This window comes from Homo sapiens, chromosome 7 (genome assembly GCF_000001405.40).
Source record: "Homo sapiens chromosome 7, GRCh38.p14 Primary Assembly".
NCBI lineage: Eukaryota > Metazoa > Chordata > Mammalia > Primates > Hominidae > Homo > Homo sapiens.
Window position 1 is genome coordinate 142,613,031 of NC_000007.14, and position 22,372 is coordinate 142,635,402.

Genomic DNA, 22,372 nt, shown 5'->3' on the forward strand with positions numbered 1-22,372 from the left:
TATATAAAGAACTCTTACAACTCAATAATATAAAGACAAATAACCTAATTTAAAAATGAGAAAGGATCTAAACATGTCTCCAGAGAAGATCTGCAAATGGCCAAAAAATACATGAAAGATGCTCAGCATCATTAGTCGTTAGTGAAATGCAAATCAAAATCACAATGAGATACCACTTCACACCCAGTAGGCTGTAATAAAGATACCCAGACAATAGCAGGTGTAGGCATAGATGTGAGGAAATTGGGACCCTCAAGAATTGCTGGTGCCATTGTGTAAAACAGTCCAGCAGTTACTCAAAAGTTAAACATAGAATGACCATGTAACCCAGCCATCCCTCTCCTAGGTATACCCCTCAGACAATAAAAAATATGTTCACGTAAAAAATTTATACACACACTTCAAACAGTATTATTCATATTACTCAAAAAGTGGAAATATCCATCAATTGATGAGTGGATTAACTAAATAGGTTTTATTTCTAAAATAAAACTGGTGATAAAAAGGAACAAAGCACTGATACATGCTATACCATGGATGAACATTGAAAAGCTATATAAAGTGAAGAAGGCAGGCACAAAGGGGCACATATTGTTGGACTTCATTTATATAAAATGTCTAGAATAGACCGGGTGCAGTGACTCACGCCTGTAATCCCAGCACTTTGGGTGGCTGAGGCAGGCGGATCATGAGGTCAAGAGATCGAGACCATCCTGGCCAACATGGTGAAACCCCGTCTATACTAAAAATACAAAAATTAGCTTGTAGTGGTGCGCGCTCGTAGTCCCAGCTACTCAGGAGGCTGAGGCAGAAGAATCACTTGAACCCGGGAGGCAGAGGTTGCAGTGAGCCGAGATCGCACCACTGCACTCCAGCCTGGCAATAGAGCAAGACTCAGTCTCCAACAACAAAAACAGAGTCTAAAATAGGCAAATTCTTAAAGACGGAAAATAGATTAATGATTGCCATGGGCTGTGGGAAGGAATAAAAGTGAAATGACATCTAATGATAAAGAATTTCTTTCTGGGGTGATAGAAATATTCTGGAATTCATGGTGACAGTTACAGCTTTGTGAATATACTAAAAACCACTTAATTATATATTTGAAAGGGTGGATGTTATGGTATGCAAATTATATTTCAATTTTAAAGAAAATGTCAACACTCAACATGAAAATATTCAAAATTACAGCTCCAACATCAGAATAAAGACTATATTTTTGGATCTCTAGGATTCTGATATGAGTAAGACCATGAGTCATTATTATTTGGACACTAAATGTTAACATGATCTTATTTATTATTCAAGTCATACACCTAACTCCTCTGGGGTGCCTATCCAATGGAGTGAGATTGTGCCTTGTTTCCTGTATCTTTCTTTCACTACTCCTGGGACAAAGTAGACTTTCACATAATTTTTATTCAATGCTGCAGGATGAGAAAGGACAGAAAAATGGGAGGAAGAGGCTGGGCGTGGTGGCTCACGCCTATAATCCCAGCACTTCAGGAGGCCGAGGTGGGCAGATCATGAGGTCAGGAGATCGAGATCATCCTGGCTAACACGATGAAACCCAGTCTCTACTAAAAACACAAAAAATTAGCCAGGCGTGGTGGTGGGCGCCTGTAGTCCCAGCTACTCGGGAGGCTGAGGTAGGAGAATGGCGTGAACCCAGGAGGTGGAGCTTGCAGTGAGCCGAGATCACGCCACTGCACTCCAGCCTGGGTGACAGAGTGAGACTCTGTCTCAAATAAATAAATAAAAAATAAAAAGGGAGGAAGGAAGATCTCTCAAACACAGGCATCCCATGCATGACTACAGAGAATGATACAGATAGGTATGCAGAATAACGGGACCTGAGGTCAGAGGGGGAAGTCTTTTTAGAGTTTGTTCTTTGAATCACTTATATTGAAAATTCAAGTGGAATAAGTGAAGGTGACAAAAGTGAATTACAAATCTTAAAGTTCCCTGAAAATGCTTGAAGCCATCCCTTAGCTGAGGTGTGGGAGTGAAAAAGCAAACTGAGACAATGTGAAATCATTTTCTATCTCGAATTTTCCCTCCAGCAATGTTGGTGTCCACTTCCCTGTCTCTTAATGGGTGCATCTATATATCACCTCTTGTCAATACCTCTACTCAGCAACAGCCAGAAAATAGAAAGATTATATAAGCCAATAAAAGGAAAATAAAGGAACAAAAAATAAGAATAGTGGAGAGATCATCTACTTGGGAGGCTGAGGTGGGGAGGATTGCTTGAGCCCAGGAATTTGGGACCAGCCTGGGCAAACAGCAAGACCCCATTTATGAAAAAAATGAATAACATTATCTGGGTATGGTGGCTTGTAGTCCTAGCTACTTAGGAGGCTGAGATGAAGGACTCACTTGACTGATCCTAGGAGATTGAGGCTGTAATGAGATATGATTGCACTGCTGCACTCCAGCCTGGGCAGCGGAGCTAGATCCAGTCTTGAAAAAAAAAAAAAAAAAAAGGTGAAGAGGGAAAAAAAAGAACGAGTAATAGAGGTGCTTACTTCACAACACTAACCTCACAAACACACACTAAGCTAGGTTGTGTGTATAGGTCAGAACAAAAGATCTACCATTTAACTGACATATAAGATTGGTTCTCGAAACCATAGGACCCACTGGAAATGGTGACCTCACAGGAAGATGCATCTTGTAGGAGGCAGCTGTGAGGTCTGGTTCCCCGACGTGCTGCAGCAAGTGCCTTTGCCCTGCCTGTGGGCTCCCTCCATGGCCAACTCTGCTATGGACACCAGACTACTCTGCTGTGCGGTCATCTGTCTTCTGGGGGCAGGTGAGTTTTCAGCTAAAGGATCACCATCACTGGGCTTTGTTTTGGGCTCTACAGCAGATTCTCAAATATACCCTGGACCTCTGTGTTGACCAAATATTTTGTGAAAGGTATTGACATTTATATGAAAACAAATAATTGCATTATGGAGTAAAAAGCAAAATTCATGTGAGTTTTTAAATGAACGCAGGAGACTTCAAACAGGCTCCTTCACTGTAAGACATTCATCCTTCTGCCATTACAACTCTGTCTCATGCAGTCTCTTCTCCTCTGAGGTCTCTCAAATGCCGGCGTCATGCAGAACCCAAGACACCTGGTCAGGAGGAGGGGACAGGAGGCAAGACTGAGATGCAGCCCAATGAAAGGACACAGTCATGTTTACTGGTATCGGCAGCTCCCAGAGGAAGGTCTGAAATTCATGGTTTATCTCCAGAAAGAAAATATCATAGATGAGTCAGGAATGCCAAAGGAACGATTTTCTGCTGAATTTCCCAAAGAGGGCCCCAGCATCCTGAGGATCCAGCAGGTAGTGCGAGGAGATTCGGCAGCTTATTTCTGTGCCAGCTCACCACCCACATTGATGCAGAGCCACATCCTCTCAGTCCACAAACATCCTCCAGACCTGCCTTGGAAACAGCGGTGGGCCAGGAAGGGAAACGCGTTACCTGTACAGTGAACAGGTCAGCTCTACGGTATTCTGCAAGTTGAGGGTGGAAATAGGGGAGGATTGTAGGAATAGCATGAAACATCCCAGGCTACGCTCAGAAACTAAGACTCTGTCATCCAAAGAACATAAAGATTTTTAAGAACTAGACATAATTTTTCAGTTTCAACATTGACTTAATTTGTCAGTTTCAAAACACTTAGCAGTGTAACTCTGTTTTTTACTCCACACTGTATGTCAAGTTCTATATTTCATGCTTTACATCAATAATTTTATTTAATCACCAAGACACACAAGCAAAGGAAGTGCTTTCTTCCTTTTCACCAAGAGAAATTATGGTCCTAGGAGTTAATTTTTAGAAAGAAAGAGACAGAGAGATGGGGGAAGAAAGGGGAGGGGAGGGGACAGGAGGAGAAGGGAAGGGAGGGGAAGGGAGGGGAGGGGAGGGGAGGGGAGGGAAGGGAGAAGGAAACCTAGTAGGTGGCAAAAAGCATTTGGCTCAAAGGGTTATGATTTTTATCTCACATCATGCTGCTTAGCATTCTTTTAGGCATAATCCTTGTTCTGTTCCTTGCTGAGTACCCGTGCAGGTTTTTACGGATGCTAGGTTCAAGAATTCCTGCTATAAAATTATAGAACATCTGAGAGATGATGGAAATAGAGTTGGATAAATTTGTCTAGAATTTAGGGAAAAGGTCTGGCCCACAGATATTGTTCATTAGAAATGTGTCACCTCAACTTTTTGTCTTAATGTTTGTTTTTATTCTCATCACTCAACAGATATAGGCCACCTACAGAAAAAGATTTGTTATAATTTGCTTTGATGAAACAATTTCATAAAATCAAAAGGCAGACAAAAGCAAAGTCATTTCAAATATATGTGCAGACTAAGTCCAGCCTCACCAGCTTGGAGTATAAACCATGTGATTCCACTGCAGTTTTTGCCCTTTGATTTTCTAAAATCATTTAATGTACTCCTGCCCCTCCCTCACTTTACCCAAAAGGAGAAAAACCCAGAAAATCTTCCAGGAAGACAGAAGAGGGACACCGGCTTGGGAGCCTGAGAAAGATCCAGAGAGATTTCCAGAAAAAGACCAACCCTGAGACCCCAGCAAGGCTGCAGAGAAGATGGATTCCAAACTTCATGCCATTTAAAGCACCAGACATGTAATTTAAAGAAACAGTCTTCCAAAGGTAGTGCTTTACAGGGAGGGGAAAAAAAGGCAAAGAGGAAGAAAGAGGGTCTTCTGGCAATTCAATAGTGAGGAGAAAAAGAGGAAAAAGGGGAAAACTGAGAATTCTGCAAAACAAAAGGAAATCACAAATCAAGAGGACCCACAACCAGCCCCACTACGAAAACAAACAAAGCTCACTAAGGAGTCTGGATTTTGCTAGAATGATGGCCAAAGGAACATTAGACTAGGAATTTTGTAAAACACCTCAATAACACGAAAATGAGCAAGATGAAAGTAATACCCGTACAACAAAGGAAAACATCTCACCTCTGTTCCCTGTTCCCTCATCTCAAAAGCAATCATGAGTCAGAAGATAATGTAAGTCTACACTCCAAACAGAAATAAATACACTCAAGGAAGCAGCTGAGGATATAAGTGACCATAACCAGACCAGGACTTTAAAAACTCAGACTACAAATGGCCAAAATGGGAAGACATCAGAAAAAAACACAAATTGATTGAACCCAGGAGGGACATGAAAGAAAAAGACAAAGTTATCCCAGTCATGAAAAATAAAAGATGACCAAGGGAGAATAAACCCAAATGAAAATTTAGTCAGGACATTGAACAAAGGCAAAGAAACAAGTAGCAGAATGAGAAGGACATGAGTGAAACCAGCCAGTTAGAAGGCGGTCAAAGAAGGCGAGGTCTTGGTATGATTGCATGAGGGGCCTGGAACAGCAGCACTGGGCTCTGTGCAGCAGGACGGCTAAGCAGCAGGTTGTCACAGTGGCCACAGCACTACTGGCCAGACCCCAGGAGTCACAGTTTCCCTGAGAGAGCTGAGGGCATAAACAATGATAAGTTCTCCAGGGGATGGACTTCTTAAATACTCTGAGTTCATCATTACACATTCTATGCATGTAGCAAAATACCACAGGCACCCACAAATAGGTACACATATTATGTATCAATGTTTTTTTAAAAAAAGGAAAAATAAATGAATTCCACATTCTTGTATAATCAGAGTATCTACAGCGCTCCTGGAGTAACCCAAACCTTATGGTTGCTGGAAAGATAAAAAACCAATGGGCCAATTGGGGTGAAACTCTGGCCCGGAAACGTGGGGTGCCAGCCCCCTCAGCACAGATGCAATGCAGAGTTATGGGAGGTGCGAATGACTCTGCTCTCTGTCCTGTCTCCTCATCTGCAAAATTAGGAAGCCTGTCTTGATTATCTCCAGGAACCTCCCACCTCTTCATTCCAGCCTCTGACAAACTCTGCACATTAGGCCAGGAGAAGCCCCCGAGCCAAGTCTCTTTTCTCATTCTCTTCCAACAAGTGCTTGGAGCTCCAAGAAGGCCCCCTTTGCACTATGAGCAACCAGGTGCTCTGCTGTGTGGTCCTTTGTCTCCTGGGAGCAAGTGAGTCCTGGGTTCAGGGAGAAAATTCCTATCTGGAGTGCTGCAAGTTCCAAATCTAAGGCCTCCCCGAGGGACAGCAGCATCAGGCGCCTCCCTGGGCTGTACTCAGGCATGCCTCTCTTTCTTTTCCAGACACCGTGGATGGTGGAATCACTCAGTCCCCAAAGTACCTGTTCAGAAAGGAAGGACAGAATGTGACCCTGAGTTGTGAACAGAATTTGAACCACGATGCCATGTACTGGTACCGACAGGACCCAGGGCAAGGGCTGAGATTGATCTACTACTCACAGATAGTAAATGACTTTCAGAAAGGAGATATAGCTGAAGGGTACAGCGTCTCTCGGGAGAAGAAGGAATCCTTTCCTCTCACTGTGACATCGGCCCAAAAGAACCCGACAGCTTTCTATCTCTGTGCCAGTAGTATAGACACAGTGAAGCACGGATGTCGCCTCTCTGTGCATAAATGTGCCCAGTCCTGCTTCCCCGACCAGGTGGCAGGGCTCCTCTGCACTCTATGATGGCAGGAAACGCCACTCAGCCACTAAGCAGGTTTAAAAAACTGTATATAACTAAAACTCTATATATAAACTATGCATATAAAACTAAACTATATATGTATACATTTATATATAACTAAAACTTTATATGAGACTAAAATGATAGTTTTATATAGTTTTTTAAAGTATAGTTTTATATATATATAACTATATATATATATCATTTTTTAAACTATAGTTTTGTAGTTTTATTTATTTATTTACTTTTTGGAGATGGAGTCTCACTCTGTTGCCCAGGCTGCAGTGCAGTGGCATGATCTCAGCTCACTGCAATCTCTGCCTCCTGGGTTCAAGCAATTTTCCTGCCTCAGCCTCCCAAGTAGCTGGGATTACAGGTGCATACCACCACACCTGGCTAATTTTTGTATTTTAGTAGAGGCAGGGTTTCACCATGTTGGCCAGGATGGTCTCGAACTCCTGACCTCAGGTGATCCACCCACCTCGGCCTCCCAAAGTGCTGGGATTACAGGCATGAGTCACCGTGCCTGGCTGTTTTATAGTTTCATATAGTTATTTTTAAAAACTATATAAAAGTTTTTGTATAGCCACTTAGTGGCTGAGTGAAGTTTCCTGTCATATATGATATAGATATAGATATGTTTATATATGATATAGATACAGATATGTTATATATATGTTATATGTTGTATATAAGATATATACATAGAGAGAGAGTCAGAGAGACACAGAGAAGAAGGAAAAGTTAATCTTACAACCCCCAGCTTTTTTCTATTTTACCGAATGCTAGATGAATAGATGGATGAATGAATAGAAATGAATGAATGAATAGAAAATTTTCCCTTCTTTCAGGAAGATAAAAAAGCCTGTGGAAAGAGAGATGTAGAAGACAAACCCTGTAATCACAATTTCATATGACGCGTGCTTTAATGAGAGACGTTAGTGGAGTATAGGAAGTAACACGGCCAATTCTGTCTGGTGACATCAGGAAGGGCGTCAAACAGAAAGCAAATTTTGAGATGAAAGTTATTATTCAAATTTCACCAGATGGGCAAGTAGGATTTCACCAGATGGGCAAGCACCAAAAGAGGGAGGCAGGCTAAGGGAACTATGAAAGGAAAGAGTGATGAGATAATACCAGGAAAAAAATTATCAACACTCCCTCCTCCACCGGAATATGGCAATGGAGGAAAATTTGGACAAATGAATGGAGTCAAGTTATTGAACAAAACTGAGTTTCTTGTTCTAGTGGTCCTTCATTGGATATCTGTGTAGAAACATCCAAGAGGCTCCGTAAGTGCAGGTCTGGCACTTAGAAGAGAGGGTTGGGCTTGAGAGAAATGTTTGAGTGATAGTTAAGCACACAGGTGTGAGTAAAACTTCCCAGGTGATCTTGTCTTCTATGCTTTCTCTCTTTATGCTCTGCCACCTATGCCTTGAATTAGAAGGTAAGTGGTGTAAGTGGTGTTATTTCTTATGTTGACTTACACATGTCTATTTGATCATATAATTACATTTCTGGAAATTGATGTTTCTATGTTATTCTTCAAATACAACTAAAACTGCTGGTTGAAAATTTTTGTAAAATATTGTCAGAAGCATCAAATAACCTTAGTCTGTCCTGCTGTATTGTCCTTTTTTTCCAGGGATAAGAAATTTTTAGAAAAATATGAGTCCCTGTCCAGAATACACAAGCCTTGGCTCCACGAATTTTCTTCGAATTATTTCCTGGATTCTGTGTTTAGCTTTGGATTTCTTCTTCTACATAGCCTATGGGAGTTTGACTCACACAGAGTCCCACAGAAACCAAAATACTAAAACATAGAGATGGAAAAGACAGTTCTCCCTGAAAAGGATCTAAAGAACATTAAAACATGGTATCATGAGAACTACAACCAGTCATTGAAACTAATGTTTTCTGACGGTAGTAAGTAAAACACTGGAAATGAGATGGCTCTAAGCTACTTCACTTTGAACGTTCAGACCATATTCACAGATGCCTACACATCAGTCATTCTCTGAGCCAGAGGATGGAGCCAAGGACCTTCATGGCGGTGGGAAAGACACAGTCCCATAGTGCTATCTGTGCCCTGTATACAAGCCATTTTCCAGAGGTGATGGGATTGGGAAAGACTGTCTGTCCAATGAGAGGAAGAAAACGAAAGGGAAGACAGTAAGAGATAGACAATCTTGTTTTTCCTTGTTTTTCTTGTCCGTGACTAGAATGGACACAAATTCCTTTGTTTCAGTTGAGGAATTTATTAAAGCAGGGCATAAGAGCTTAAATAGACTTCAAAAATTCTACTGTAAAACTATTAACCATTTGCTTTTTTCAGGGTAATCTTAATACTGAAAAGAACACTGTAGCTATGAAGTTTCATCATAATCTCCATTCCCACAACCAGGTTGTAAGAGAGATATCATCTGAAGTGAAGGACAGGAAATTTTTAAAATGTAAAATATCACTGAATGTTTTCTTAGCAAGTTTTGAGAGGCCATCGCATCTATTAAATAGGAAGATAATTTATATAAAATTTTAATCTAGAACTGTATTTCTTTAACATAATAAACATAATTGCTCTATTTAAAATCACATTGAACATAACAAATTGTAAATTAGACAAGTCAGAAAACCAATTTGTCAACTGTTTAAAAATTGAAGAAATAGTCCAGAATTCTTAGGAAGCAGAAAGGGATATTTAACGTGTGAGAAAAAGGTACTACCACAATAGCAGCTTTATTCCCAATGGCTCCAAATTGGAAAATATTCAACATCTGACAATGCAATGGAGAAATGATTGTGTTACATTTATGTAACAGAATACAATATAGCACAAAAAAATCAAGTGTAATTTCCAACACAGATATTTCAAATATAACATTGAATAAAATATAGTAGACACAAAATAATACAGTATGTAGTCAGAATAGTGATTAAATTTGGTAGCATTATGTATTTATTCTGAGGGAGACATGAGGAAGGCTTTTGGAATTCTAAATTCTATATCTTGATCTGGGTGATGATTACATGAGTATATTCATTTCAAAAATTCATTGGGCTGAACACTTAAGATTTGTGCAGTCTATGTATTTTATACCTCACTTAGAAAACTTAAAATGGCAAGTATATTATCTTGACCAATAATCTATTGCTGTGTGACAAACCACTCCAAAAGTTAGTGATTTAAAAGAACAACATATTATTATCTCTTGTGATTCTGTAGAAGGGCTCAGCTGGACAGTTCTCACTTAGGGCTGCTCACATGGTCACTGTCAGATAGTCACTGAGGCTGAAGATATCTGAAGACTCAACTAGGCTGAATATCCAAGGTGGCTTTTTTGTGCCCCTGTTGGTTCGTTACCTGGGATGGCTGCAGTAGCTGTGGACCCGCTGAGCATTTCTCTCTGTACACAGCCTTTTGATGTGATTAGATGAGCTGTCTCACAGCATGGTGGCCTCTAGGCAGCTAAAGTTTTGGCATGGTCGTTGACCACCCTAACTGTGAGCATTCAAGAGACCCGGGTGTGGTCAACTAGGCTCCTTACAGCCCAGCCTGAGAAATATGCAGTGACACCTCCACCACAATCCAGCCAGCTCGGATTCAAGAGAAGGGCACCCCTGGGAAGGTGACCACTGGCCAGTGTGTTTCATCAGGCTGGTGTCTTTGAAGACCAAATACCACACCACAGCCATTTGAATTTGTGTCATTACTTGGTACTCTTATTTTTTCCCTGCTGCTCTTTTTGCATTGAAGTCCTTTTGGGATGACATCAATAAAACTATTTCATGTTTTTAAGATTGTATTTGTCAAGTATTTCTTTTTCAACCTTTCTACATGCAGCCTTTTTGTTGTTTTTATTCTTCAGGTGGGTATTTCATAAGCAGTGTGTATTTTTTCAGCCCATGATTTATAGAACTAGAATCCTCAGTCTATTGTCTTAAATGTATTTCTGTATAGTTTTCTATAGAAGGTGATTTCCTGGGTTTTGAGTTATGTTTCTTGCTTGGTTTTGTACATTAATTTTTCTCACATTTTGGTTTCTTCTTCCCTCATGCATGACCTTATTTTTGTTGACTATTTTTCTCATTTCATTATTTTGCCTTTCAGAAGTCCGCAATTCATTTTCATTTTTTGATGGTTAACTGTAACATTTTATTATATAATTATATTAAGAAAATCTGAGATTAGTCTTATCTTTACCATTCTCCTGAAGCCTATGTGAACTTTAGAACAATTAACACCTATGGTTCCCCTTCATGATTTCCAATATTTTGGATAGTCAGAATGTTAGATCTACCATAACTAGAAGTATTGTTTTATTTTACCAATACTTAATTACAATTACCTACCTATGTGTTAACCATCATCTTTAATCGTCATTGTTTTTGCACAAAACTTTAGTATACCAACTCAGAGCAGAAAGAGGATCCATCATATTCTGTGTCTGCCCTATTAAGCATGCTTCTCTGCTGCATGGCCTTTGATTCCTAGTAGTAGATTTATCCCAGGCAAAGATGTAGAGCCCTATTATGGGCTATCAGATCTCAACACCAAGGATTTCTTGTGCCACAGCCCTTTGGTGCCAGGCCTCTGACTCTAACTTCTATCTCTTTTTCCAACAGTTCTCATGGATACTGAAGTCCCCCAGACACCAAGAAAACTGGTCACATTGACTAATTTTAAGAGATGGCCTTGAAGTAGTCTCAGAAAATGAAAAGTCATAGCACATACTAGCTATTGACAATGTATGGTTTTGGCTATGGCAAACCCATAACACAAATGGAAGTGTCAGGGAAGAAAAACCACCATGAGCATTAAGGAACAAAAGAATATATTATAGGAATGAGGCCTGACACAATTTGGGGAGAAGATGGATAAGTGAAAGTTTGAAAAGGGTCAGAAAAAACAACTCTAACCAGCTCTGGTGAAGGTGGATGAACTGGACTTCGCATTAAGTTTTGCATTAAGCTGTTATATCCATACACTATATGGAACCCTGAAGGGGCTGGTGTAGGAATCTATGAAGATGGCTGACTCTATGTGCCAATAGCCCTGTGAGTTCTCAGAAAATTTGGTGGTGGCACTGCAGTCCCTCCTGGTCAGCAGGGCTGGCAGTCGGTATAAAGAGCTGGATGTGAAGCAGGGGAAAGTCAGCATAAATTGGAACTCACCGGCACTTTTGATGCTACTCCTTACTGCCTGGAGCCAGTGATGACTTCAGAACTCAGTAGCAGCTGTTTTACTTTCCCCTTACAAACTTCCTGCATTTCTTACCCCATGATCAACTCTAACCCGGAACCATACTAGGAAAAAAGTTGTCCGAAACATATTCCTTGCTTAGCTAAGTTGACACAGTGATAAAACCCCACAAGAATATCCAGATGCTCCTTGACTTGCAGTGGGGTAATATCCTGATAAATCCAGCACAAATTGAAAACATCATAATTCAACTTACAATATCCAGCTTATCTGTACATAACCCCATCATAAGTCAAGGAGCACACTGAAATGCATATTGCTTTTGCACCATTGTAAAGTTGAAAAGTCATTGAACCATCATGAGACCATCTGTACCTGACAATTAGTGTTTCTCAAAATAAATAGGAAGATTTTCTTCTGATCTGAAGGTCTTCCAGCCACTCCCTCCCAGACATATCATAATATTGGACCAGAGGTCACCCATAGCAAGCTGTCCCTACTTATTCTTTGCAGAAAAAGTACAGTTACAGTATGAAGTGGCCTCATTTTAATGAGGCCCAACATACCCAGGAAATAAAAAATGCAGCCACAGGAGCATACAGATGCCCTTTAATAGATATGTCAATATTAACATAATGCAATAGCTATATTTGTTATAAAACGATTTCACTATTGCACAAACATAATATGATGGGCGAAGTCTTAATCTTATCTTTTCTAGCTACCTATGCCAGAGAAGCAGAACTAAATATTAAATGAAAGCACAATTGAGAGGCTGTTATAAAAATGAAAACATAGGGCTTTCAAAAAAACTTTCCAGCTCCTTGTAATTGCTACATATTTCCAACATCGATCCATTAAAACAAGTATCCCAGCCTGTTCAAATCAAAGAATTTCTTATGCCTCCTAGAAACTATTTTCACTGTCCAGTACTTAGTATGACCTCCATTACAATAGAATAAATTTAATTATTCTCACAACCTCAACAGTGATTAACACGGAAACATACAAGCTAAATTGAGAAATATTATTAGAATGTTTAGAATTAAGTCCCTTTATATATGAGGGAAATTGTCATGAGATACACATGAGGTAACTATCTCATTTAGAAAATGATGAAGTGGCTTCAACATGATTATGAAGAAACATTGGACTTCCAGCCGAGGCACTGGCCTGTGCTTTATCAATATTTATGGTAGTGCCAACCTGTGGGTCTAGTGATTAACAACCATGAGTTGTCTTGGTGTTATTACTTTGAGGATATGAAACAGAAGCAGCAAACAGACTCCAATGCCATTCATTACCTAAACCTACACTCCTTTCCTTATAGGAAACTCACTTAAGTCATTACAATGCTTTATGTCTCAGTGTATCTTTAATAAATTTGGAAGTTGAATTGGGAAGTCTTTAGGCCACTTTAGGCAATGTATGGGTTTTTTGTTTTCTTTTGATATGGGGTCTCACTCTGTCACCCAGGCTGGAGTGCAGTGGCATGATTTCAGCTCATTGCAACCTCCGCCTCCTGGGTTCAAGCAATTCTCTCCCTCAGCCTCCTGAGTAGCTGGGATTACAGGTGTCCACCACCACGCCTGGCTAATTTTTGTGTTTTTAGTAGAGATGGGTTTTCACCATGTTGGCCAGATTGGTCTTGAACTCCTAACCTTGTGATCCACCCGCCTCGGACTCCCAAAGTTCTGGAATTACAGGCGTGAGCCACCTCACCCGACCTGTATGGTTTTTTGACAGGCAGAGATGGACGTAACATCAGTCATGGGCAAAGATTACCACCAGGGGGCAGACTAGGGCATCCTTGGGATTCTGTGATCAGTCATCCCTCCTCGCTGGTGAATGGAGGCAGTGGTCACAACTCTCCCCAGAGAAGGTGGTGTGAGGCCATCACGGAAGATGCTGCTGCTTCTGCTGCTTCTGGGGCCAGGTATAAGCCTCCTTCTACCTGGGAGCTTGGGTGGGCATGTGCGTGTGTTGGCATGGTCAAGTGGTGGCCAGCAGGGTTGCAATGTGGATTGTTTATGCTCATCGAAGGGAGAGGGAGAGGCCCTGCTCTCTAGAGGTGTAAATGGTAAGGTGAAAGCCGCCGGTCAGAGGAGATGGGGGATTATGGCCCTAGGGAGATGACGGGAAGATTGCACAAAACAAACAGGACTCTCCAGGAGCTGGGAGCACAGGGAGGGAGTGAGGCTCAGCTCTGCCTGGCGTCCTGTCTGACTCGGCTCCCACTGGGCTCTCCTCTCTCTCTGGCTTCTGTCTCAGCAGGCTCCGGGCTTGGTGCTGTCGTCTCTCAACATCCGAGCAGGGTTATCTGTAAGAGTGGAACCTCTGTGAAGATCGAGTGCCGTTCCCTGGACTTTCAGGCCACAACTATGTTTTGGTATCGTCAGTTCCCGAAACAGAGTCTCATGCTGATGGCAACTTCCAATGAGGGCTCCAAGGCCACATACGAGCAAGGCGTCGAGAAGGACAAGTTTCTCATCAACCATGCAAGCCTGACCTTGTCCACTCTGACAGTGACCAGTGCCCATCCTGAAGACAGCAGCTTCTACATCTGCAGTGCTAGAGACACAGCGCCAGGAGGGGATCAGACACCGCGGCAAGAACCCCTGCAGCTGCCCTCCGCCCCAGCGGGCCCCCTGAGTGCTGAGAGGGGAAGCGTGGAGAATGGAAAACCACAGCTTTCCTGACTGAGACATCTGGGAGTGTGTGTGCAGGGGGTGGGGCGGGGGGGAGGGGGAGAAAAAGAAAAGAAGCACTGTGAGTGTGGAGTATGGAGGAGGTGTAGTGTTTGAGACCCACGAAATGGCAATAGAGTTGGGCCTAAAGTGGTCGGCGGACATGGAAAGTTCCCTGAAAATTATAAAACCTGGAATTTTGCCCTGACTCTGCCACATTAGTCATGTATTCTTGAATAGATCTACACATAATCCTAGAGGTAGATATGAAGACAGTTGTATAATCACTGTGTATTTCCTATAATAAACTTCAGCGATTGGCTTTCTTGTCATCATGCTGGGCTCTCAAGACAAAGATAACCAAGAGGCAGCCAAGTAGAGAGTTATGCATGAATACGTTACCTTAGGGGAGGATAGCAACAGCATTGAATAGCATTCACTCCAAATTTGTGTTCTGTCCTCCTTAGACCAGGCCACCAAAATAAAATCCTATCACATTTCCTGTAAATGTTGAACGCCATCATGTTCTCCATGGTGTTTCGGTTGATGAATGAACAGAGTAAGACTCGGTACAAAGGGAGGGGAGCACCCTCTATGCCTAGGTACACACCATACGGAATGTATCGCTAGGGAAGGTGCTGGTGAGCTGGCTCCTGGGAAAGGTGTCAAGGGGAAGAGGGGGCAGAGGTACCTAGAAGGAAGACCTCAGACAACATGGCTTGTCTACAGAGTTGGAAAGTTCTGCCAGTAGTTAGAAGACAGTAAGTGGAACAGTGAAAATCCTTTCCTAGGAGAAACCAAACATTTACATTGACCACAAATCTGTATGAACCAACAGAAAATGAGCAAAACATATGACCATACATTTAATAGAATAAACATATATGACTAATAAACATATAGAGATATTTCACTTCATTGATGATCAGGATAATATGAAGCAAGACACAATGATACATAGTTTTATATCCACTTGATTAGCAAAATATAAAAAGTTTAGAAATATAAAATGTTAGCGAGGGTATGGATTCATAGGATTACTTATAAATTACTGATGGGAGCATAAGTACTATCAACCATTTGGAAACAGTTCAGCATTATCTCGTAGTTGAAGATTCCTATATCCCATAACTCAGCAATTCCACTCCTAGGTTTACATCAGGAGAAGCTCTTGCATACACATATCAGAAGACATAAATAAAAAAGTGTTCTTCACAGCACCAAACAGTAGAAAAACATGGCACCAAGCCACATATGCACTGAGAAGAGTGAATGAATAAACTGTGACATATTCATATGAGTCAAAATGAATGAACTATAGTGAAGAGCAAGGTTATAGGTGAATCTTAGCAATATAATAGCAAATGTAAAAACTAAGTCTAATGAGATTATGCAAAGCATAATGTGCTTTTCATAAAGCTAAAAACAAGTCAAGAAAATAATTTTCAGGACTAAAATATATTAGAACAAATTATATTGAAAGGAAAGCAAAGATGAGTTGTATGCTGGAGCCTACTTTATCAGCTCATGGGAGCTGACTGTATACATTTTTCCCAACTCCAGTTTTAGTGACATCATTTTGTTAGCTTGAAATTGGCCATAGTGAGGGTATTTACACTACAGAAATTAGCAAACACAGCAAATTACGGTTTGCTTTATTTTCCTCCAGACTTAGCTGTCAACCCTTTACCCTTTACCAACACACTACTGGCAGGGAATAATAATGACCCAAGTTCAGGATTTTTATAAGGCTGGGGCATGGCAGGAAATAGAATGAGAGAGAACTATATGGCTATACATTGAAATATTATCAAGGTCTATCTTGCATAATGTTGAGGAGGAGAAGTTTTACAAGTTCCTATTATGTTTTTTAAAAATATTCATTGACAAGCAATGCCTGTGTGTTATGAACCACAGGTTAAGATAAATAAAATTGAATGCATATAGCATCAAAAAGAAGAGAAAACAAATAAATGAATAGATTAGAGTTCTTACAAGAAAAGGATCAAGGGCATTTTATAGTCAAAACCAGGAGTGAAATAGCAGTGGCTTAACTGCTACCATCCTCATATAGATATCGGCTGCTGAATTAATCACAGCGGACAACCTACCACCCAACAGACCTGGACCCTTGTCAACCCTTTGCAACACAGAACAGGGGTTTAGACAATAAGGGTGAACGTGAAAGCGTGGAGATGACACCTGGCCCCTGACCAAGGTGGAACTGACTGGAACAAGATGGGAGCCAATTCTGCAGTGAACACGCTGCTGCTTTTCGTCTCCGCTATGACCGTGTGTTGCTGGTGGTTAAATACCCCACCTGGGTTCAGTCACCTCAGACTGTGCCATTGCCACTGATCTCAGGACCCACTTTAGTTGTAGCCTTTTACTCTGTTAGCGTTTTCAGCCTGGAGAACAGAGCTAGTAAAATACTTATAAAATATTCCACTGCTTCACTAACGGCATGGAAAAGACAAGAGCTTTTAAGGCTCTGGCATGAAACAGGGAGACAGTGGTTACATTCCTATTTCACGCAGTCACTATTTCCGTCTACGTTAAGCTGAGGAGTGTAGTGTTTCGGTGACATTTAGCATGGAACGCTGCTGGGTTCAGACCTGACATTCCCAAACCAGCTGACTGTCAAGGACACAGCCTACTGCCTACCTATATTACCTTAGGAAACGAGACAACAGCATTGAACAGCATTCAGTCCATATTTGTGTTCTGTCTTCCTTGGACAAGTACCAACAAAATAAAATCCTATCACATTTCCTGTAAATTTTGAATGACATAAATTTTTGATTAGCAATTCTTTTTGAAGTGTTGAACTTTTTGTTCTGATTTTATATTCTACTCTCTGTGCTTTGTTGTATTTAAAATCAAGTTCACCTTTCAGAGGCAGTGATGGGTGAGGTAAGAGACAGACTCTTACATCCTCCTCCCCAACACACACACACACACACACATACACACACACACACACACACACACGGAGGCACTGTTTTTCCCAGTAATGGAGAAGCCATGGGAAGAATTTCAGAGGTTTCAAGGGAGCTAGGGTCGTCTAATTCCTCTATATCCTTGGATATCCCCATTCTTAATGTCAAAAATAATCTCTCGAACTGGTTTCCCAGAGTCTCAACCCATTTGCTATAGTACATGCACCATCTCAGGTGTCCAAAGATGAATATTTGATAAGCTACTTCTCAACTTCATACCTCTGCTGCTGTTTTTCCATTCTGGAATGTGGAAAGCAGTGTGACTCCTATTAACTGACCAGTAGTCAATTTTAACTACCCATAAATATGTGAGTGTCTTTTATCTGTAATCTCCTATCTGGTGCCATTTTTGAAAACCAGTTAAGACTCTTTTATCCTAAAAAATGAACTATGTCTAATTTCTTGAAAGTAATTATTGATGAAATACTCCCTGGAGAGTCTGAAGCCCCTGATATTGCATATTTAATTGTTATCCTCCTTTTAATAAAAGGTATAGGAAGAAATTTTAAATATTATTCCTAAATACCTTACATCAAGATGAGCTAGAGTTAATTAAGTGGGACGAGGGATAATGAATTCAAGGGCATTTAAGAAAGATTAAAGAACCAGTGCAAAATGTTTTAATCAGGAAAGAAATTAGTGTGTTTAATGACAGGAAAGAAGTCAGCAGAGTGACAGGAGCAGGGGGAGGAGGTGGTTGAGTACAGGGCAAAATTGAAGAAGGCAGGAAGGCACCAGACCACTCAGAACCTTACTGGTCAAGGTAAATGATACAGAATCCAACATAAAGCTTAATAGGAGACACTGAGGTTTTCAACATTTGACTTCTTTAGTAATCAGATTCGTGGCTGTGTGTGTATCTGTGTATTTAATCACCCTGGTCACAAAGTGAAGAAATAATGGACCATGCAGGGAAGGCAAAATGTTACCTCTACCCTCTTGCAGTTTTTCGGCTGGTCCTGAGAATGGAAGATTAACAGGAAGGAAAGCATACACATGTATTTAATACAAGTTTTACATCACATGAAAGCCCCCATAATTAAAGGAAGAACTGAATGTGCAGTTAGAGTTGAACATTCATATATTGAATTGGGCAAAGGGTCATACATTGTGGAAAGGTGAAAAAGTAAAGGGGCTTAGGCTAGGGTTGCTGGTTGAATGGCAAAGTGACTAGGAAGGTGAGGATTAGTTTAACAAGCTTTTTTTGTTACAGATTCCTTGGCCTCAACATCATCCCATTCTATCTTGGATGTTAAGAATATTCTTTTTTCCTGGTATAGATAAGACATCTTTTATATGGGAAGCTTATTCCATTTTTCAAGAAGAAAAGGGGAAGGGTCAGAGTACTCCTCTTATACTTGCTATTGTCTTTAATGCCTCTAGCTCAAAATATTCCTTATGCCAAAGTGGCATATTTTGGGCAGAGGGTTGGGAGGCTTATGCTGCCACCCTCCAGCAGTGTGAACAGAGTTGATGCGGAGGAAAAACTTAGCTCAGGCAAGCAGTAGTTTAGCTCAGATAATGATGATGGTGTTAGAAATATGGGGAAAATGAGACATTTAAAAGGAAGTAAATCAAAGGACTTGGCAATTGATTAGACATGAGCAGCAATATGCAGGGGGTGGTGGGTGGTGATTAAGAGAGACTGCTACACACAGACAAATAAGAAGGACCAAGTGGGAAGAAGATCAAGATTTACTTTGAGATTGGGAGTGCCTTAGGGACAGTAATCTAACCAGGAATATGCAGAGAGCAGTTGGATGTACAAGTCATGGACTCAGAAAATGGATCTGGATAAGAAGCACACCTTTGGGACATTTAGCATCACTGGAAGAATGAAAGTGCCTCCAATCCCTTGATATACAGTTTACAATGAAAAGATCAGAGAGCATAGGATAGCGGTTTAGGGAGCACACCTGCCTTGGGGGACTATAAAAGGTTGAGGGAGGCAAAATGCACTGATAAACCACCATCGGCATTAGACTAATGGCTGAATAATTGTGTAAGTAATTGCTAGTAACAATGCTGTGGAGTATGTGGCAGGTAGCACATCAAGTGCTGCTTTTTTCTTAATTTCGCTCTGATACCTGGAATGCCTTTTTGCTGCCTCGCTGCCGGGCGGGCCACTCCCGACTCAGGCAGGCCGAGGCAGAGCTCCGCGGGCATTGGATGAATTCGCTCCTTTGACCACTAGAGGGTGATGTGGATCTTTCTATAAAATATCTGCCGCTCATCAAGTGGGGACTCACAGCTTCACCGGATATTTCAGATGAGATGTTTAGGTACTGACTGACCAAAAAAATTGCAGATATCCTGGGAGGCCAATTGGTCTTTAAAATGGCAGGATCTAATCTTAACATTTTGTAATAACCCTTAGCGTTTACCCATATCTGGCACCTGTAGTTGTGTGATTTCTACACAGTTGATAAATATATAAATGAATAATACCGTGATTTCTATTCAACATTGTGCTGAATTTGCAACCAGTGAAACAAGGGGAAAAAGTTGAAAATGAGAAAGGAAAGAAAAATAAGTATTGGCGCACGACAAGTTTATTTATAGAGATTCAAAAGGGTCTAAAGAAGCAATGCATTATCAATAACAAAATGTAGTAAGTTTACTGAATTTAACATAAATATAAAACATTATTTTATTTTCACATACTACAAGCAGTTATGTTTTTTAACGAGAGACAATTTACAAATAATGATATAAAATAGAAAATAAACACCTAAGAACAAATCTATTAGATTAGCAAGACTATCATGCAGAAAACTATTAAAATTTTAGGGGAATCAGGGCCGCGCTCAGTGGCTCACGCTTGTAATCTCAGCACTTTGGGAGGCCGAGGCGGGCAGATCATGAGGTCAGGAGTTCAAGACCAGCCTGGCCAATAGGGTGAAACCCATCTCTACTAAACGTACAAAAAAATTAGCCAGGCATGGTGGTGCACGCCTGTAGTCCCAGCTAGTCCGGAAGCTGAGGCAGGAGAATGGCTTGAACCCAGAAGGCGGAGCTTGCAGTGAACCGAGATCATGCCACTGCACTCCAGCCTGGGCGACAGAGCTAGCCTCTGTCTCTAAATAAATACATTTAAGGGAATTATTTTAAAAGTTTGAAATAAGCCGGGCGCGGTGGCTCACACCTGTAATCCCAGCACTTTGGGAGGCCGAGGTGGCTGGATCACCTGAGGTCAGGAGTTCAAGACCAGCCTGGCCAACATGGTGAAACCCTGTCTCTGCTAAAAACACAAAAAATTAGCTGGACATGGTGGTGGGTGCCTGTAATCCCAGCTACTCAGAAGCCTAAGGCAGGAGAATTGCTGGAACCCGGGAGGCGGAGGTTGCAGTGAGCTGAGATTGCACCATTGCACTCCAGGCGGCTGGGCGACAGAAAGAAACTCCGTCTCAAAAAAAAAAAGTTTGAAATAAGTAAAGATATACAACATGATCATGAAAAAGTGAATCCAATAGTAAGGTTGTTTCAATTTCTGCAGTATTATCTATATATTCAATACCACAGTAATCAAACTACAAAAGATTTACTTTATGAAATTTGTCAAATAATCTACAACTAAGTGAAAAAGAACAAAAATAAGCAATATTTAAGAAGTACAAAAAGTGATGTGAATTGCTCTACCAATTATCAAATTATGTTATCATTTAGGATAATGAAAGAAGCGTGATTAAATAGGCAAATGGAAAACAGAAAATGAAAAATAGGCCCATGAATATACAGGAATTTCATATATAATAGAGGTGTTATTGAAGATATACGGAGGAATGATGTAATATACAAGTTATTCTGGAACAGGTGGTTATCCATACAAGGAAAGATGAATTTAAACCTTACTTCACAATATATGTCAAAATAAATCACAAGTGAATTAAATGCTTAAATGCAAAATTCAAAATGTTAGGAGTTTTGGTAAATAATAAGGATTATATCTTCATGAACTTGGGCTATGGAAGATTTTTTTTAACAAAGAATTAAAAAACATGTTTACCCCAAATAAAAGAATAATGCATTCTACTAAAGAAACCCAACAAAAAGTAGCACAAACAGAATAAAGACATACACCACAAATTGGAAAGATATTAGCAACACACATAGCTGACAAAGGTTGGGTATCCAGAGTCTAGAAAAAACTGTTACAAATAAATAATAGCTAATCAACCAAAAAGAAATATGGACAAAGGGCAGTTTACAGGCAACACTGGTGGCCTATAATATATCAAATATATTCAACCTCCTTAGCAACCAGAAAGAAGCAAACAAAAACTATATTGCACCATGAGATAATATTAACATACTAGACTGGCAAAATTAAAGGTATATTAAATAGCAAGTGTAGTCCTAGATGTGGAACATCTGAACACACTCATGAGCTGTTGGTGGGATCACTTATTTGGCTTAATCACTTTGGAAAGCATTTTGTTATGTTATGTAAAGTTGACATGTTGACTTGAAAACTCAGTCTTTACATTGCCAGGTATGGCAACAATCTTGCACCTAGAAAAGCAGAGACATGTTCGAGAATACAATACTGTTTGTAGCAGCACAAACACCCAGGGAAAAATTAGTGTGCATTAATTCAAGAATGAATAAATTCTAGCCAATGAATATAATGTAATACTAGATGGCAGCGAAAGTAAATTGTCTAGATTGTGTGTCAACGTATTATCACAGACCTAATGTTGAATGAAAAAATAACATTGTAGAAAATATATAAACTAGCTGATTCCTCTTAGATACATTTCAAAGACACACAAAATTAAATACTACATAATTTACAGATTCTTGTGTAAATGCTAAAGACTATAATGCCAAGCTAGTGAATGACAAATTTAAACTTCAGATTACACCTACCTGGGCATGACGGAGAAACAATGAGG

The 22,372-nt window shown here is 40.4% G+C and overlaps 3 gene segments (V, D, J or C) and 1 further gene, besides 10 other annotated features; all 4 read left to right on the plus strand.

The window, feature by feature from the left end:
• Positions 1 to 22,372, plus strand: part of TRB (T cell receptor beta locus) — a 514,277-nt gene that overhangs the window by 314,020 nt on the left and 177,885 nt on the right.
• TRBV18 (T cell receptor beta variable 18) lies at positions 2,767 to 3,385 on the plus strand. The segment is given in 2 exon segments: positions 2,767 to 2,815; positions 3,088 to 3,385. Coding segments are annotated over 2 exon segments (347 nt in total), but the record flags the coding sequence as incomplete, so codon positions are not given.
• Positions 3,386 to 3,392: a recombination feature (RSS_heptamer).
• Positions 3,393 to 3,415: a recombination feature (RSS_spacer).
• Positions 3,416 to 3,424: a recombination feature (RSS_nonamer).
• On the plus strand, positions 6,027 to 6,502 carry TRBV19 (T cell receptor beta variable 19). The segment is given in 2 exon segments: positions 6,027 to 6,075; positions 6,208 to 6,502. Coding segments are annotated over 2 exon segments (344 nt in total), but the record flags the coding sequence as incomplete, so codon positions are not given.
• Positions 6,503 to 6,509: a recombination feature (RSS_heptamer).
• Positions 6,510 to 6,532: a recombination feature (RSS_spacer).
• Positions 6,533 to 6,541: a recombination feature (RSS_nonamer).
• TRBV20-1 (T cell receptor beta variable 20-1) lies at positions 13,697 to 14,369 on the plus strand. The segment is given in 2 exon segments: positions 13,697 to 13,727; positions 14,066 to 14,369. Coding segments are annotated over 2 exon segments (335 nt in total), but the record flags the coding sequence as incomplete, so codon positions are not given.
• Positions 14,370 to 14,376: a recombination feature (RSS_heptamer).
• Positions 14,377 to 14,399: a recombination feature (RSS_spacer).
• Positions 14,400 to 14,408: a recombination feature (RSS_nonamer).
• Positions 19,523 to 19,817: an enhancer, noted in NCBI's record as "tiled regions #1556 and #5446, which are identical; HepG2 Activating non-DNase unmatched - State 12:CtcfO, and K562 Activating DNase unmatched - State 12:CtcfO". NCBI's record gives its function as "activates a minimal TATA promoter and a strong SV40 promoter by Sharpr-MPRA in HepG2 and K562 cells {active_cell/tissue: HepG2 | K562}" and the evidence as "EXISTENCE:reporter gene assay evidence [ECO:0000049][PMID:27701403]".